We start from the raw sequence: 19792 nt of genomic DNA, 5'->3' as shown, positions 1-19792 counted from the left end.
CATATAACAACACTTAATATTAGAAAGAAAATAGTAGCACAAAGTGAATGCTATAAACATAACTTGGGAAGCATAGAAGAGGTCTAGGTCTTCTATTCTCTAAAAAGATGAGCATTTCACAGCTTAAAAGAAAGAGAAAAAAGGTGCAGGTGATGGAAGCCAGAGGTTGGTAAGAAAAAAATAAATAAACAAGGTGCCGCCTCCAATCTGGTCTACTCTATCCAGTGCCTTTGCCAGAGTCCCAGGATCTGAAATAGAATCCACAGCATCAGTTACCACTGACTATGCACTGATAGAGGCAAAGAGCCATTTCAGGCTTGTTTCAGGTGGCCTGTGGTGAGAACTTCTCACTTTGCCGCCTCTCCATCAGGAGTGTCTCCTGTGTCTGCCCAAAGCTTATCTCGGCCCCATCCAAATTATTCTGGACTACTTTTCAATGGCCCAGGATACTCATAATCCTCTTAAATGGAGGGTGGGGCCCTAGACACTGAGGAAGGTAGCAAGACTATGGAAGGGGAGCCTCCCTGTGCCTTAAGAGGACAGAGCAAACTTAATTTCCCCAGAGCCAGGACAAAGATGGAGGAGGGGCACTCATGTTAGTATAGACGTGTAAGTGGCATAAAAGACAGAAACAAGAAACCAGGTTCTCATTTCTACTTCGAGGGACTTAAATCTAGTCTTCTGGATTTTTCCTTTCTCTTGTCTTTCTCTTTTCACTCCTCCTCCTTAGCTAGAAGCACATTGGCAGAGTAATGAAAATCAATGCTGTTTTTTTCCCCCAAATATTTCAAGGTTTCTATACAGGTGATCGATATAAAAAATACTGCAAACTTTAACTGTAGATTCCTCAAGGCTAAATTTCTGACAGATGTCAATCAAGTGGTGGGGATTTGAATTCAGTACAACAAAAATTTCCAAGAGTGCTAGATAAAAATGTCATTTTGTAGCAATTAGCATCTCTCACTGAAAGAGCTCAAGTACTCACTAGAAGATAATTATTATCTCATATTCAAATCCCCACTGGTGTGAAGATGAAAATGATTTCAAGATTGGGCAACTGATTGTTTTGTCTGGGGAAATAAAAAAGTGCGTTACTTTCTGAGCTCTAACACAGAACACCCAATTCCTACCATGCAGAGACTGGTTAAAAAGTGCCTTCTGTAAGAACTTGGTACTTTTATTTCATAATCTAAAATTTATATTGACAAATAAAACAATAAACATTTTATATTTAATATTATTATTCTGCCAATCTTGAACAATTTGAATCTTTATAAAGAAATAGGCATATAGGAACTGGAATATTTTTATTCCATAATTTCAATTTTTTTACTCAAGAAATACAACAAATATGTAATCACAGAGATTAGCATATTTCTCTACCTGAATGCTCAGACACTTCTCTCTTTGTATCACATACAAATATATTCACACCAATACATACATAGTTATCTATTCAATTTTTTAAAATTCCATTATACTACATGCCTAAACTAGTCTAGGCACTGGGAATACTGTGAACAACCCAAAAAAATTCCTGCTAACACAAATTTTATGTATTTTTAAGTAAATACTCATGAAGCTTTGTACATTATTGTATTAAACAAACAATAAACTTCAAGAATGACAATAAAGAGAGATGTTTCCTGTATTGATATAAATTTTTTTTAAATTGGTATATTTATATCAATACTATAACAATTATAGTTGTGCTCATATTTAATGGTATACATAATCATGGTCTTAATGGGATTTAAGCATATATAGGAGGTAGCTTACTCAAAAGGCTGAGATGAATATTTACTTTGTATGTAAAAGTAATACCTAGTGTTCTCATTTGTGTCATTCACTATTTAAACTTCAAATTTTCTGTGACCCCATATATTGGCATACTCTTTAAATTTCATTACAATTTATACACCACACACAAATGAGTGCACACACACACAAATACACACACACACACACATACACACAGATTTCCTGATCTTATTTCTTACCAGTATAGTTTGGGTGTAGGAAGGCTCCTATTATTTCCTTTAATATATACCTCTTTATAAATTTATTAGAGAGTTTTGGCAGCATCTACTAATCCTGAGCTCTGTTTCCCTGGTTGTTGAAATGTATGAAATCACAGATCACTGAGCTATGACTGGTTTTCTCTTTTTTAATTTTTATTTCAATATTTTTTGGGGTACACGTGGTTTTTGGTTATATGGATGTGTCATTTTTGTTAATTTTTATTTTAAGTTCAGCGGTAAAAGTGCAAATTTGTTACTTAGGTAAACGTGTGTCATGGAGTTTGTTGTACAGATTACTTCATCACCCAGATATAAAGCCTAGTACCCATTAATTGTTATACCTGATCCTCTCCCTCCTCCCACTCTTTATCCTTCAAAAGGCCCCAGTGTGTGTTGTTCTCTTCTATGTGTCCATGTGTTCTCATGATTTCGCTCCCACTTATAAGTGACAGCAAGAAGTATTTGGTTTTCTGTTTCCACATTACTTTGCTAAGGATAATGGCCTCCAGCTCCATCCATGGCCCTGTAAAGGGCATGATCTCATTCTTTTTTATGGCTAAATAATATTCAATGGTGTATATGTACCACATTTTCTTTATCCAGTCTACTGTTGATGGACATTTAAGTTGATTCTATGTCCTTGCTATTGTGAATAGTGCTGCAATGAACATAAGCCTACATGTCTCTTTATAATAGAATAAATTATATTCCTTTGGGTATATATGCAGCAATGGGATTGCTGGGTCAAATGGTATTTCTGTCTTTAGGACTTTGAGGAATCGCCACACTGTCTTCCACAATGGTTCAACTAATTTGCACTCCCACCAACAGTATGTAAGTATTCCTTTTTCTCCACAACCTCACCAGCATCTGTTGTTTTTTGACTTTTTAATAGTAGCCATTCTGACTGATGTGAGATGGCATCTCATTGTAGTTTTGATTTGCGTTTTTCTAATGATCAGTGATGTTGAGCTTTTTTTCATGATTGTTGGCTGCATATATGTCTTCTTTTGAAAAGTGTCTATTATGTCCTTTGCTCACTTTGTAATTAGAGTATTTGCTTTTTTTCTTGAAAATTTGTTTAAGTTCCTTATACATGCTGGATATTAGACGTTTGTCAGATGCATAGTTTGCAAAAAATGTTCTTCCATTCTGTAGGTTGTCTGTTTACTTTATTGACAGTTTCTTTTGCTTTGTAGAAGCTCTTTAGTGTAATTAGATTCTATTTGTCAATTTTTGTTTTTGTTGCAATTGCTTTTGGTGTCTTTTCATGAAATCTTCGGCCCCTGCCTATGTCTTGAATGGCATTGGCTAGGTTGTCTTCTAGGATTTTTATAGTTTTTGGTTTTACATGTAAGTCTTTAATCCATCTTGAGTTAATTTCTTTATAAGGTGTAGGAAGGGATCCAGTTTCAATCTTCTGCCTATAATTAGCCAGTTCTCACAGCCACATTTGTTGAATAGGGAATCCTTTCCCCATTGCTTGTTTTTGTCAGCTTTGTCAATGATCAGGTAATTGTAGGTGTGTTGTTTTGTTTCTGGGTTCTCTATTCTGTTGCACTGGTCTGTGTGTCTGTTCTAGTACCAGTACCATGCTGTTTTGGTAACTGTAGCTCTGTAGTATAGTTTGAAGTCAGGTAGTGTGATGCCTACAGCTGTATTCATTTTGCTTAGGATTACCTTGGTTATTTGGGCTTTATTTGGGTTCCACATGAATTTTAAAATATTTTTTTTCAGTTCTGTAAATAATGTCAATGGTAGTGTAATGGGAATAGCATTGAAGCTATAAATTGCTTTGGGCAGTACGGTCATTTTACCAATATTGATTCTTCCTATCCATCAGCATGACATGTCTTTCCGTTAGTTTCTGTTATCTCTGAATTTTTAGGTAGTTGTTTGTAGTTCTCTTTGTAGAGATCTTTTACCTCCCCAGTTGGCTGTAATCCTAGGTATTTTATTCTTTCTGTGGCAATTATAAATGGGAGTTCGTTCATGACTTGGCTTTCGGCTAGACTGTTGTTGGTGTATAGAAATGTTAGTGATTTTTGCACATTGATTTTGTATGCTGAGACTTCGCCGAAGTTGTTTATCAACTTAAGAAGCTTTTGGGCTGAGATGATGGGGTTTTCTAGATATAGGATTATATCATCTGCAAACAGGTATAGTTTGATTTTCTCTCTTTCTATGTGAATGGCCTTTATTTCTTTATCTTGCCAGATTGCCCTGGCTAGGACTTCCAGTATTATGTTGAAAAAAGGGGATGAGAGAGGGCATCCTTGTCTTGTACTGGTTTTCAGGGGAAATACTTCCAGCTTTTGCCTATTCAGTATGATGTTGGCTGTGGGTTTGCCATAGGTGGCTCTTACTATTTTGAGGTATGTTCCTTCAATACCTAGTTTATTGAGAGTTTTTTTTTAATATGAAGTAATGTTGAATTTTATTGAAAGCCTTCTCTGTGTCTATTGACATAATATGTGGTTTTTGTCTTTAGTCTCTTTATATATGAATCACATTTATTGATTTGTGTATGTTGAACCAACCTTACATCCCAGGGATGAAGCCTACTTGATCATGGTGCATTAGCTTTTTGATGTGCTTATGAATTTGGTTTGTCAGTATTTTGTTAAGCACTTTTGCATGGATGTTCATCAAGGACATTGGCCTAAAGTTTTCTTTTTTGTTTGTATCTCTGCCGGGTTTTGGTATCAGGATGATGCTGGCCTCATAAAATGAGTTAGAGAGGAGTCCCTCCTTTTCAATTTTTTTAGAGTAGTTTCAGTAGGAATAGTACCAGCTATTCTTTGTACATCTGGTAGAATTCAGCTGTGAATCTGTCTGGTCCTCGGCTTTTTTTTTTTTTTTTTTTTTTTTTGGTCAGTAGGTTATTTATTATAGCCTCAATTTCAGAACTTTGTATTGGTCTATTAAGGGATTCAGTTTCTTCCTGGTTTAGTCTTGGGAGGGTGTATGTGTCTAGGAATTTATCTATTTCTTCTAGATTTTCTAGCTTATGGGCATAGAGTTGCTCATAATATTCTCTGGTGGTTATTTGTATTTCTGTGGGGTCACAGGAAATATCCTCCTTATCATTTCTGATTGTGTATATTTGAATATTCTCTTTTCTTCTTTATTACTCTAGCTTCTGTTCCATCTATTTTATTAATTTTTTTCAAAAAACCAGCTCCTGGATTCGTTGATCTTTTGAATGGTTTCTCGTGTCTCTATATCCTTCAGTTCAGCTCTGACTTTGGTTATTTCTTGTCTTCTGCTAGCTTTGAATTTGTTTGCTTTTGGTTCTCTAGTTCTTTTAGTTATGATGTTAGGTTGTTAGCTTGAGATCTTTCTAATTTTTTATTTGGGCATTTAGTGCTGTACATTTCCTTCTTATCACTGCCTTAGCTGTGTCCCAGAAATTTTGGTATATTATATCTTTCTTTTTATTAGTTTCAAAGAACTTCTTGATTTCTGCCTTAATTTCATTATATACCCAAAAGGCATTCAGGAGCAGGTTTTTCAATTTCCATGTAATTGTATCATTTTGAGTGAATTTCTTAGTCTTGAGTTCTAATTTGATTGCTCTGTGTTCCGAGAGACTGTTTGTTATTATTTCAATTCTTTCGCATTTGCTGAGAAGTGTTTTACATCTGATTATATGGTTGATTTTAGAGTAAATTCCATGTGGCTATAAGAAGAATGTATATTCTGTTGTTTTGGGGTGGAGAGTTCTGTAGATGTCTATCAGGTCCATTTGATCCAGTGCTGAGTTCAGGTCCTAAATATCCTTGCTAATTTTCTATCTCAATGGTCAGTCTAATATTGTCGGTGTGGTATTAAAGTCTCCCACTATTATTGTGTGGGAGTCTAAGTCTCTTTCAAGTCTCTAAGAAGTTGCTTTATGAATATGAGTGCTCCTGTGTTGGGTACATATATATTTAGGATAATGAGATCTTCTTGTTGAACACTTTACCATTATGTAATTCCCTTCTTTGTCTTTTTTTTTTTATCTTTGTTGGTTTAAAGTCTGTTTTGTTTTATTTCCAGAAACTAGGAATGCAACCCTTGTTTTTTTCTGTTTTCCATCTGCTCATTAGATTTTCCTCCATTTCTTTATTTTGAGCCTATGTGTGTCACTGCATGTGAGATGGGTCTCTTGAAGACACATACCAGTGTGTCTTGGTTCTTTATCCAGCTTGTCACTCTGTGTCTTTTAATTGGGACATTTAGCCCATTTACGTTTAGGGCTAGTATTGATATGTGTGGATATGATCCTATCATTATGATGTGAGCTGGTTATTTTGCAGACTTGTTTGTGTGATTGGTTTATAGTGTCACTGGTCTGTGTGCTTCAGTGTGTTTTTGTAGTGGTTGGTAACGGTCTTCCTTTTCACATTTAGTGCTTCCTTCTGGAGCTCTTGTAAGGCAGGTCTGGTGGTAACAAATTCCCTCAGCATTTGCTTCTCTGCAAATGATCTTACTTCTTCTTTGCTTATGAAGCTTAACTTGGTCAGATATGAAATTAGGGGTTGGAATTTGTTTTCTTTAAGAATGTTGAATATTGGTCCACAATCTCTTCTGGCTTATAGGGTTTCTGCTCAGAGGTCCACTGTTAGTCTGATGGGTTTCTCTTTGTGGGTGACCTGACCTTTCTCTCTAGCTGCCTTTAACATTTCTTCTTTCATTTCAACCTTGGAGAATCTGATGATTATGTGTCTTGGGCATGACCTTCTTGTGAAATATCCACTGGGATTCTCTGCATTTCCTGAATTTGAATGTTGGCCTTTCTAGCTAGGCTGAGGAAGTTCTCATAAATGATATCTTGAAATGTGTTTTCCAGATTTGTTCCATTCTCCCATCTCTTTCAGGTACATCAATCATTCATAGATTCAGTTTCTTTACATAATCCCATATTTCTCAGAGGTTTTGTTCATTCATTTTCAATATTTTTTCTCTATTATTGTATGCCTGTCTTATTTCAGAAAGGTAGTCTTCAAGCTCTGAGAATCTTTACTCTGCTTGATCTATTCTGCTATTAATACTTGTAATTGCAATATAAAACTCTCATAGTGTGTTTTTCAGCTCTATCAGTTTGACTTTATTCTTCTATGTACTGGCTATTTTGTCTGTCAGCTCCTTCAATGTTTTATCGTGATATTTAGTTTCTTTGCATTGGGTTTCAATGTACCCCTTTAGCTCAATGACTCAGTGACATGAATTCTGCTTCTGTCATTTCAACCATCTCAATCTCAGCCCAGTTCTGAACCCTTGCAGGAGAGGTGATGTGGTCATTTGAAGGAAAGAGGGCACTCTGGCTTTGAGTTTTCAGCATTCTTGTGCTGATTCTTTCTCATCTTTGTGGGCTTATCTACCTTCAAACTTTAAGGTTGCTGGCCTTTGGGTGGGTTTTTTTTTTTCTTTTAACAGTCTGGCCACTTTTCCATAGGGCTTCTGTGTTTTGTGTGGGTCTGCTCCAGTCCCTAGTCACCTCAGATATTCCAGTACATTAAGGTATTGCCAGTGAAGGCTATGAAACAGCCAAAATGGCAGCCTGCCCTTTCCTCGGGGAGCTCCATCCCAGGGAGGTACAGACCTGTTACTGGCCTGAATGCACCTGTAGAAGGTGGCTGGAAACCCTGGCTGGGAGGTCTCACTCAGTCAGGAGGCACAGGACCGGGGGACCCACTTAAAGAATCAGTCTGGCCATGTTTTTATACAGCAGCTGTGTTGTGCTGGGGTACTGCTTCTGCTCCTAGTCAGCTTGGGCTCCCCAAAGCCTGGAGGCTGGAATGGCTGAGTCACCCAAGCAGCACGGATGGTGGCCCACCTATCCCTCTGCGTGCTCTGTCACCAAAGGTTTTCAATTCTCTGTTGGCCAGAGAAAACTGGCAGGATTGGCAGGAAGCCCCAGTTGGAAACTTCCACTCCGTAAGGAGGAATGAAATAGGGGACCCACTTAAAGAAACAGTCTACTCATGCTTTCATAGAGCAGCTGTGCTGTGTTGGAGTACCGCTTCTGTCCTGGTTGGCTTGGGGTCTCTGAAGCCCACAGCTGGAACATCTAAGCAGACTCCTCCCTCTGGGAACTCTGTCAGGAGAGAATTCAAATCTCTGATCAGCCAGAGAACACCAGTGGGGGTGTCTGGAGGCCACAGTTGGGAGGTTTTGCCTAGTAAGGAGGAACCAATCAGGAACGTGCTTACAGAAGCAGTCTGGCCACATTTTGGTAGAGCAGCTGTGCTGTGCTAGGGGGTCCCTTCTGCCCCTAGTTGGCCTGGACTCTCCAAAGCTCACAGACTGGAATGGCTGAGTCATCCAAATAGCAAAGACGGCAGCTTATCCCTCCCCCGAGAACTCTGTCAAAAGGAGGCCCAATACTGTTGCCAGTGGCTGGCTGGAATTCCAATCCAGTGGGTCTTATCTTGTAAGATGCCATGGAAGTGGGGCCCGCAGACCATTGCTGCTTGGCCCCTAAGAGTCAGTCTCTTTCCTAGGGGTATGTAAAAAGGTCCAACCTCCCATCTTGCCAAAGTTGCAGCTACTTTTGCTGGGAAGCTCAGAGCCAGAGTATGTAAAGCTCCTGGAACTCTGTACGTGCCTGAGTGGCTGCTCTGCCAAGACTCCACAGAGCTTTGTATGTTAGACTGAATGCCTCGGTGGAGTGCGTTCATGAGGGGATCTCCTGACCTGAGGGGTTGCAAAGATCCATGGAAGAAGCCTGCTTTCCCAGGGATGCACATTCACTCACCACTTCCCTGGGTGGGGGAGGTTCCCTTGGCTCTGTGTCCCTCCCAGGAGGGCTATCGTTTTTGCCTTGCTTTTCTTCATTCTCTGTGGGTTGAGTTGTTTCCTTTAATAGTCCCAATGCAAGTACATGGATGTTTCAGTTGAAGGAGCTGTATTAACTCACCGTTTTCATTCCTCTCTGTGAGAGACGTGCACCGTAGCTGCTTCTAGTTGGCCATCTTGGCCACTCCCAATAAATACTTGAATGGTGATTTCTGACGGTTTAGTCCACCTGTCACCCAAGAAGTGTACACTGTACCCAATGTGTAGTCTTTTATCCCCCACCCCCCCAACATTTCTCCTCAAGTCCCCAAAGTCCAGTATATTATTCTTATGCCTTTATTTCCTCATAGCTTAGTTCCTACTTATAAGTGAGTACATACAATATTTGTTTTTCAATTCTAAGTTACTTCACTTAGAATAATGACCTCCAGCTCCATCCAAGTTGCTGCAAAAGACATTATTGCATTCATTTTTATGGCTGAGTAGTATTCCATGGTGAATATATAGCACATTTTCTTTATCCATTTGTTGGTTGATGGGCACTTAAGTTGGTTCCATATCTTTGCAATTGCAAATTGTGCTGCTATAAACATGTGTGTTCATGTGTCTTTTTCATATGACTTCTTTTCCTTTGGGTAAATACCTAATAGTGGGATTGCTGGATCGAATGATAGTTCTTTTAATTATTTAAGGAATCTCCATCCTGTTTTCTATAGTTGTTGTACTAATAATTTACAGTCCCATCAGCACTGTAAAGTGTTCTCTTTTCACTAAATCTATGCCAACATCTATTGTTTTTTGACTTTTTAAATTATAGCAATTCTTCCAGGAGTAAGGTGTTATCTCATTATATCATTATGGTTTTAATTTGTATTTCCCTGATGATTAGTGATATTGAGAATTTTTTCATATGGTTATTGGCCATTTGTATATCTTCTTTTGAGATTTCTTCTATTCATGTCCTTTGCCTGCTTTTTGATGAGATTATTTGTTTTTTACTTGCTGATTTAAGTTCCTTGTAGATTCTGGATACTAGTCCTTCGTCAAATGTATACTTTGCAAACATTTTCTCTCATTCTGTGGGTTTTCTGTTTACTATGCTGATTATTTCCTTTGCTATGAATAAGCTTTTTAGTTTAATTAGGTCCCATGCACTTTTTTTGTTGTTTTTGCATTTGCTTTGGAGGTCTTAGTCATGAATTATTTGCCAAGCCAATGTCTAGAAAAGTTCTTCCAATGTTATCTTCTGGAATTTTTATGGCTTCAGGCTTTAGATTTAAGTCCTTGATCCATCTTTATTTGATTTTTGTATGGGTGAGAGATTACAATACAGTTTCCTTCCTCTACTGGCTTGCTAATTTTCCCGGCACCATTTATTGAATAGGGTGTCCTTTCTCCAATTTACATTTTTGTTTGCTTTGTCAAAGATCAGTTGGCTGTAAGCATTTGGCTTTATTTCTGGACTTTCTATTCTGTTCCATTGGTCTATGTGCCTATTTTTATACTAGTGACATGCTGTTTGTGTAACTATAGCCTTGTAGTACAGTTTGAAGTTGAGTAATGTGATGCCTCCAGATTTGTTCTTTTTACTTAGTATTGCTATGCGGACTCTTTTTTGGTTCCATATGAATTTTAGGAATGTTTTTTCTAGTTCTATGAAGAATGCTGATGGTATTTTGATGAGAATTGCATTGAATCTGTAGGTTGCTTTAGGCAGTGTGGTCATTTTATACAATATTGATTCTCTCTATCAATGAGCATCGATGTTTCCATTTGTTTGTGTCATCTATGATTTCTTTTAGCAGTGTTTTGTAGTTTTCCTTGTAGAGATCTTTAACCTCCTTGGTTAAGTATATTCTTCAGTATTTTATTTATTGATTTATTTTTGCAGCTGTCATAAAGGGATTGAGTTCTTTATTTGATTTTCAGTTTTGTTGTTCACATATAGCAGTGCTACTGATTTGTGTACATTGACTGTATGCTGAGATTTTACTGAACTTGTTTATCAGATCTAGGATCTTTTCGGATGAGTCTTCAGGTTATACAACCATATCATCTGTGAATAGTGACAGTTTGACATATCTTTTCCTGTTTGGATGCCCTTTCTTTCTTTCTTTTTTCTGATTGCTCTATCTAGGACTTTCAGTACTATGTTAAATAGACGTGGTGAAAGTGGGCATCCCTGTCTTGTTCCAGTTCTCAGGGAGAAGGCTTTCAACTTTTCCCCATTCAGTATGATGTTGGCTGTGGGTTTGTCATACATGGCTTTTACTACTTTGAGGTAAGTCCCTTCTATGCCTATTTTGTTTAGGGTTTTATCATAAAGGGACACTGGGGTTTATCAAATAATATTTTTTATGTCAATTGAAATGATCATATGGTTTTTGTTTTTGATTCTATTTTTGTGATGTATCACAGGTATTGATGTTAAACCATTATGTTAAACCATTCCTGCATCCCTCGTATGAAACCCACTTGATCACGATGTATTTTCTTTTTGGTATACTGTTGGATTCAGCCAGCTGGTGTTTTGAGAATTTTCACATCTATCTTCATCAGGAATATTGGTCTGTAGTTTTCTTTTTTTGTTATGTCCTTTCCTGGTTTTGGTATTAGGTTGATACTGGTTTCATAGAATGATTTAGGGAGGATTCTCTCTTTCTCTATCTTTTGAAATGGTTTCAGCAGAATTGGTACCAATTCTTGGAATGTCAGATGATATGATTCAGCTGTGAATCCTTCTGGTCCTAGGCTTTTCTTTTTTAGGTATTTTTTTAAATTACTGATTCAATATTACTACTTGTTATTGCTCTGCTCTGGGTTTCTATTTCTTCCTCATTTAATCTAGGGACGTTTGTATATTTTCAGGAATTTAACAATTTTCTCTAGATTTTCTAGTTTGTGCACATAAAGGTGTTCATAGTAGCCTTGAATGATCTTTTGTGTTTCTGTGGTATTGGTTGTAATTTCTCCAGTTTAGTTTCTAATTGAGCTTATTTAGATCTTCTCTCTTCTTTTCTTGGTTAATCTCACTAATGGTCTGTCAATTCTGTTTTTATCTTTTCAAAGAACCAGCTTTTTGTCTCATATGGCTGGCTTTCATTAGCTGGCATTGGCACTATGGGGAGAGGGCATAAAAGACCTCTGGATCTCCAGCTGTGTGATATTAGGGCAGAAGGATAGGAAAGACAGAAAAGATTAAGATTAAAAGATAGGAAAGAGAAAGGAAGAGAATTCGGACATTTCAATGGTTCTAAATGGCTGTCTAATATTTTCCCTCTAAGAGCCAAAATGAATAATGCAAATTTATCTTCAGGGCTTTTCATTCACATGACTTTGAACACTGAAAGAAGTCTCCTTATCTGAGAGCTGCTGCCATACCTGCTTGACAGGATCTGAAATTCCTTCAGTGCAGTTTTCATAGATGCCCATGTCCACAGGGCCAGATGGGAAATGCAAATAAGAGCAGCAGAGTTGGAGAAAGGAAAGAGCAAGACCAGCATTTCACCAATAAAAATATATTATTAGAAGAAAGCAAAAAGAGGGCTTAAAACAGCTGTCTTAGGTGTATGGCCCTTCCTGCAAATTACTAGCTTTGGCTGATCACTTTTAGAATTAAAATGAAAAAAAAAAACATACAGCTATGTAATATGACACTAATTACATTAAAGTATTTTAAATTACAGACATTTTACCCAGGAAAAAATTTATATAGTTTGTTGGCCAGGCGCAGTGGCTCAAGCCTGTAATCCCAGTACTTTAGGAGGCCGAGGCAGGCAGATCACTTGAGGTCAGGAGTTCGAGACCAGCCTGGACAACATAGTGAAACCCTGTATCTGCTAAAAATACAAAAATTAGCTGGGCACAGTGGCATGTTCCTATAATCCCAACTACTCCAGAGACTGAGGCAGGAGAATCACTTGAACCCGGGAGGTGGAGGTTGCAGTGAGCGGAGATCGCGTCACTGCACTCTAGCCTGGGCAACAGAGTGAGACTCTGTCTCAGAAAAAAAAAAATTATATAGTTTGTATAAAATATCTTCATTTTTAAATATTGGCACCTAATTCAAATTACATTTAAACTATTATGTACCAATATCAAAGGATACAAAACTTAAGTTAGAAAAGAGGAGTAAGTTCAAGAGATCTATTGTACAACATAGTGACTGTAGTTAATAACAATGTATTGTATTTTTGAAAAATGATGACAGTAGATTTTAAGTGTTCTCACTACAAAAATACTACATAAGGTAATGCATACATTAATTTACTTGATTTAGCCATTCCACAATGTATATATATTTCAAAACATCATGTTGTACACAATAAATATATACAGTGTTGTCAGTTAAAAAATATGTTAAACAATAAAAATACATAAATATAGAAAAAGATCAAGTAAGTTCAGTGAAAAAGATATTGTTTACCAAATATGATGCATATTCGTATGGCAAGTTGCTGTTTTATGGTCCGTGCTTTAATAAAAGTTTTTAAAAAATTATTTTAGTCAGAATTAAGCAGCTAGAAAATGCTAAGAGATTTAGTAGAGGAGAATGAATACGTTTCAGTCTGAATATAAATGACTACCAATCCTTTCCTGCTTGAGGACGTATATTTAAAAAATGAGAAGGGAATGGAGAGAAGGATATTATATAGAAGAAATGGTTACAGAGAGATGTTGAAGACTACAATAACTAATTGGTAGCTTTCACAATTCTCCAGCCAGTTATTTGACCCTTCCTCAACTCTGTGTGGGGCAAGGAGTAAGAGCTGGTCCAGAGTGAGGTTTGCTTTTGTGTAGGGTGCACCCTAGCATCCTAACAGAAAGAGGTCTCACTGTATAATCACTTCATGGCATATTTTGTGTCTGTAAGTATTCCTGATACTAAAATATTTTACTCTGTTTTCCAACATCCAATTACATTTAAAAGAAGTTCCACCAAAAAATAACTGAAGCATGATCTTTGAGAGTTTATCTAGTCACAAGTATTTTTAAATGCTCCACAGACAATTATGAATCTCACTAAAGTTGAAAAATTATTGCCCCATAACTTCACGAGATTAAACAATTAATGTAAAGCTCACGGGGTATAATGCAGTTGTTCCGGCTATAAAGGACTCATGTAGTGGGGAAGATAGAGGTGACTGGGAAAAACAAGGCAGGAAGGAGTCTCTGGGTGTGAAGAAGGACATAATGTGAAGGATCAAAGTACTTCCCCTTCTGCCACCTGCCTTCAGGTCTCCTGTATGTATATATGGTCTTTTTCACAGAGTCCAAATTTCCAACCTTTATCATTCACACTGCATTCTTTTAGCCCACCTCCTTGATTTGACACTTCAGCCTTATTTTCTCATGGTCTTTCTCACTGTAATCAACTTCTTCTATTTAACCATCTCAGTCATTCCCAACTCATCATTTTTCTAAAAACTTTTAGAAACAATTATCCCATTTTAATATTCCATACCTTGATCATGGTGGTGGCTATACAACTCTGTGCGTCTGTCAAAACTCATAGAACTATATATCTAAAAGGTAAATTGTACGATATGTTTAGTATACCTAAATATACCTGACTTTAAAAATAAAGCATATTTTTTAATGTTCTATTTTCAGTCCCAGTCACTTCTTTCAGACTCTACAAATAAAAGGGAGAAGAAATAGAAAAGAAGTGGGCACAAATTCGGGCAGGCTTATGGAAATAGCATACTATATGTGTGCTATGGTATACCTTTACCAAGTTGAGTAGTTAATGTAGCTTTTATTTTAATCTCAAATTAGGACTGTTGGCACAACCAGTAGAGTATGGCTAATAAAGCATAAATTAGGGAAAAAGTGGTAAGGATACCTTTTTACTATTTTACAGTTTGAGGTTCAAGTTTTTCCTGGATAGAAAGAAAAAAATAATCTTTTTATCATTGCCAACTTTTTTAGTGGAGAAAAATTACTCTTTTTAAGTAGAGATCAACTGGATCCTGCCTTTGACAGTAGACCTTCCCTTAAGGTCTCATCAGTAGAGCTCTTAGATGGTCAAAGGACAATACAATTAGCAAAGTTTGATAAACATGCTTCCTCCTCAGAACTGTTTCATTAAGTGCTTTTCTCACTAGAATTATAATGAGAGCTGTGGAGCTATAGCAGCCGAGATTGGGGGTAATGATTCATCAGGTTATGGAGCTCTTACAGAAGTCCAATCCCATAAATTTTCTTTAGTACACTCTCTTGGCTGAGTTTTAATTATAATAGGTCATGTTAACTTGATCAATGTTTCTAAGTCCATGGAGATACAGAGCTAAGGTACCACCTGGAAATATTAGTTTAAATCTCATTTGTGTCCACATACTCTTATGATAAATTGCTAATGAGATTTCTTAATATTAGAATTGTTTCTGTTGAACACTTCGGTAGATTTGTTTTGGTGCTTGCCATCTCTTTTCCCTCTGTGTAAGTCAATATTTTAAATCTATACTGTGCTTTTATTTCTCTTGTGCCCACATCTAATAGCAACCTTATTTATAGGTTTTCTGTCAACTGCCTTTATCTCCCAATAGCATGGCATCTATCAGAAGAGAGAACTGCTAACACTCCCACTGACTCTCAATCAAGAATTTTCCCTGTTTGGTTTCTCTTCATAATTAGTAACTCCACTCATCTGTGTTTCACAATTGCATTTCAGATGGTCTGGGCTAGGGTAATAGAAATAAGAGGAAATGTGGCTACTAACCTACCCAGCTAAATGGTGGCTTTGTAAACTGGAAAGTAGATAGTTTCTGATATCATGTGATTTTCAAATCTTGGAAAGACTCTTCTTTTCCAAACTGGCTCCTTATTTATTAAATTTCTTTCACTGGTCATCTAACTTCATGGAACTTTAAGCTAATCATCTTTCAACTCTTGAATACTTTCCTGCACATCTGTGCTTTAAGATCTTCCAGAAACTATAACTTCAACATTTCAGATATTTGTTGAAAAAGCTTTTAAAATCAGATAACTTTAAGGAGAAATATCATTCACTGATGCCTTAATGTGAATGAGTTTTACATTAGAAGGTAGAGTGGAATGAGGGGGAGAGAAATAGAAGATTATTTTGCAGTTCAGAAAGGGTTGATTTTCATCTAGGATATAAAGGCTCAGGTTAACCAGAGGTCTGTTTATCTCACACTCATTCTTAACTTTAAGATTTATATTTTTTTTACTGAGAAAAGCATTTATACATAAACAACAGATAAAACCTGCAGGCTAAAGGGAAGAAGGTCCTCATGTAAGAGGCCTGGTGTAAGAAAACGGGGAGAATATGTTAACCATTCAGAAAGTTTTTGAGCGATGAAATAGTGTATGGCAAAAAGATCCAGAAACAACAAACAGGATAGAATTCTTATTAAGATTGTGAATCCAATGGGATTCCTTCTCAGATAATTCGGGTACTGTTTGGAATAAAGTTTTCAAAAGTGTCCATAAAGGTTAACAAATTAGTTTCGATTTGAAATATCACAACCATTTTTTCTTGCTTTCTTGGGATTGAGGCTGAAAGAGTTTCATTGAATTTTCACCAGAAATGAGCTCTTTCAGTGTGCTCTTTTAAATGCTATTAAGGGCTACCTATGTTCTGAATAATTGATTTTTATAAGAAAAAATAATATATGGGTAAGTTACCAGATAATGGGTTTTCAGATCTCCATTAACAGCCATCTGCCAAGATTTCATGTTACTACTTTAGTGTCTATGTTTAGGACACTGTTTAATGAATCAGACTAAGTGGCAGCTCAGTTTCACAATCTAGGTCATGTGATCACAACTGTGGAAGAGAGAAGTGGGCATCTGACCCATAGAGAGGTCCTTTGCCACCATTTCCCTGCTAATTACATTATACATAAACTGTCTCAGTTGAAAAGCTCTGATGCAGGTTTTTTTGAAATACTTGTTTGTTTTCACCTGCTTTCATTGGAAGCAGCTAAATATGAGTCCTCAAGCTAAAAATCTGAAAATTCTCTTTGATTTTCCTCTATTTCTCATCTTTCACTTCCTAACAATTGCCAAGTCAATATAATTTCATCATTACTTTCTTCTCATATTTGATCACTACTGCATTTAAGAAACTTCCCAGTATCAACGAAAAAAAGAAATATTTTTATGTATATATTCTTATAAATTATATATATGTTACTATCATTTCTACTACTTTTGGAGCCAGATAGGTCACTTCATCCCTCCACATATCCAGCACCCCAGACACGCTAGGAGACTGTCTGGTACCATTGTTGGTTCTTTCAAATCTTAATTCCTGCTTTTCCCTGGGCATGAAAATTCATCTCATCTTGTCTGATTATTGAAGTCATACTCATGCTTCAAGACTCAAGACTTCATTAAACATTTCAATGAACAAATCTCTTTCATGTACCTACTTGAGCACATTAGGCTGCGTGCCAAGTGCTGGGTGCTCACATGTGTGCTCCTCTGTCAAGTCATCTCCACACTTCTACATCAGAAATAAGAGCGGCTCGTAAGTGGAGTTGAACAATGAGAACACATGGACACAGGGAGGGGAACATCACACACTGGGGCCTGTCGGTGGGTGGAGAGGCTAGGGGAGGGATAACACTAGGAGAAATACATAATGTAGATAACAGGTCGATGGGTGCAGCAAACCACCATGGCACTTGTAGACCTATGTAACAAACCTGCACATTCTGCACGTGTATCCCAGAACTTCAACTATAATATAATAAAGAGTGACATTTTCTGCTCCCTTCCAGCTCTCATTTCACCTTGACTTGTGTTAGTTACCTGTTCAAATGCTTGTCTTCTTCATTGTATTGTAAGCTCTTAACAGAATATGCTTAAGAACTACTATGATCCTTTATGTATGAAGATTCTTTTGTTGAAATAATAAAGGAATTAATGAATAATGATTAGAATGTAGGTGAATGGACTTCTTGTTCCAAATATAGATTAGACACTCAAGTTTACTCCTCCTACATCCCACTAAACACTGAATGATTGTAAAGTTATTAAATAAAGAATAAATTCATTAAAACTCTGAGAATGGAAGGTAGTGGAAAATTGAACTAAGATTAAGGCACACTTCAGGAAAAAAAGAAAGGTTCCCATGGGAGAAAAATGCAGCAGAGGAAGTTGTGTGTGTGTGTGTGTGTTTTAATTTTATTTGGTTTTTGTTTGTTTGTTTCTCATGAAGAAATTCTGTGGTGTTGATAAATATAACAAGTCAGAATAGGAGACAGAGCACAAAATGAGATGATTGATCAAAAACTGCAATTGCACAAGCTACACAAATCAATGTCCCAAACAAGTGCAGTAGCCATGTGTACCCCCTGGGCTAACACCAGAAACTTACTAACTAAGGAAATTGAGGAATTGATACGGGTGAAGCTAGAATGTTCTAAGACTGGAGAGTTGTCCCTATTTCAGTTATCTATTACTGCATGATAAAATGTTCCAAAAGTTAGCAGTTTAGCTCATAAATATATGGACCAGGATTGGGGGCAGTGAGAGTTTCCCACTGCACAGGGATTATTCAGTCAGCTGCAGCTGGCTTGCAGCTAGGCTGGACTAGAAGGTCTGAGAAAGCTTCACTCGCATTGCTTCCTCAGTGCGCCTCCACGTGGCAGCCCTCTCTATACATGGCTAGCTTGGGCTTCTCGGTAGCAGGATGACCTTGAAACAGTGGCTCTTCTCACAAGGCCATTGGCTTCCAAGTGGTAAAGGCAGAGGCCATAGACTTCCCAGACTGGGAAGTTTTATATAGTCACTTCTGCTATATTCTGTTGGAAACACAGATACCAAGGAAAGCCCAGATTCCAGCAGAGGGGAAATAGACTTCATAATTAATGAGGTCAAGGTAAAGTCACACTGCAAAATAGCATATGGGATAACAAGTATTTTGGGGACCAATTTTGGAAACACACCTTCTGCCCTCAGTCCACAAAAATTTCCTCTCTCATGAAAAACACACTCGTCACTCTCCCCCAAAATTTCATTCTATTACATCAGACCTAGGCTTGAGGACAAGAATTTCTTTATCTAAATTGGGCCCAGGTGAGAATAAGTTTCTTCAGGTGTTATTCTTTGGGCATCTTATCTTCAGAGATGAATGGATAAAAAACTAAAAGATATTTTTCTTGACCCATACCCAACATATATTGGGAAAATAGAAACAGAATAACTGCAACAGCCCCTGTCATTCAAAAAAGGAGGAAAAAACAGGAAACTACACAGTAGTCAGTCATCCACAGCAATTTTGAAATCCACCTAGCATATGTCGTCAACCCCTGGTGCTGTGGGGAAAATAAATGTACACTGATTAAAGTCCAGATCTGCTCTCCAGAAGTGGGTCTTCTGGCAGTGTAGCTATACCATGTTGTTGTACCATGTTGCAAAAGACATTGCCCATGTTTGCAGCTGAGTGATTTTCTCAGCTTGTTTCCTGTGTGTGAAAGTTTGGGGGCCCATAGGCCTCACTTCATTTTGAAATCTCTTGTCCATTTCAGTCCAAACTGGTACAGTTTCTATAAAAGATATGTGTCTTTTCTATACATTGAATTATAACCCACTCCTTAGACAAAAAGACATGTGCCCCTCTGCTTTAGTTTGTGAATCAGGGTTCCATGGGAGAAATCATTTGACATCCTTAGGTGCCCTTTATTCAAGCAGAGATCAAAGCAATATACCACTAAATTTTTTTTTATTTCTTCACAAAGCGTCTTCTAGGAAGATCTTTGACTTAATATTGACCCCAAAGCCACATTTTACAGGCAGCACCTTGGATTTAATTTTGGCTCTGCTTCCATTTCCTAATTTGGAGACTGTGCCAGCTGGAGAAGCTGGGAAGGAGACATAGTTTTATTTTCTAACCTGGCATGTCCTAAGTTAAAAATAGTTCCTGTAAATTCTGCTTGAATATGAAACAGCTCCTTTTTTGCTTGATTTCTCTCACTTTATAATAGACAATTAAAAGAGGTCAGTTAAAATTTCCA

General features: G+C 37.2%; 1 long non-coding RNA gene across 1 annotated transcript in view, besides 1 other annotated feature; it reads right to left on the bottom strand.

Moving 5' to 3' along the window:
* LINC02234 (long intergenic non-protein coding RNA 2234) overlaps positions 1-19792 on the bottom strand; it is an 82718-nt gene that overhangs the window by 60059 nt on the left and 2867 nt on the right. The window lies entirely within an intron of this gene.
* Positions 8515-9015: an enhancer, noted in NCBI's record as "H3K27ac hESC enhancer chr5:97190106-97190606 (GRCh37/hg19 assembly coordinates)". NCBI's record gives its function as "activates a minimal SCP1, AML or CMV promoter by ChIP-STARR-seq in naive H9 embryonic stem cells {active_cell/tissue: H9 hESC(naive)}" and the evidence as "EXISTENCE:reporter gene assay evidence [ECO:0000049][PMID:30033119]".

Source organism: Homo sapiens, chromosome 5, assembly GCF_000001405.40.
Source record: "Homo sapiens chromosome 5, GRCh38.p14 Primary Assembly".
Lineage (NCBI taxonomy): Eukaryota > Metazoa > Chordata > Mammalia > Primates > Hominidae > Homo > Homo sapiens.
Note: the sequence above shows the minus strand (reverse complement) of the source record. Positions and strands in the feature narration are given on the sequence as shown.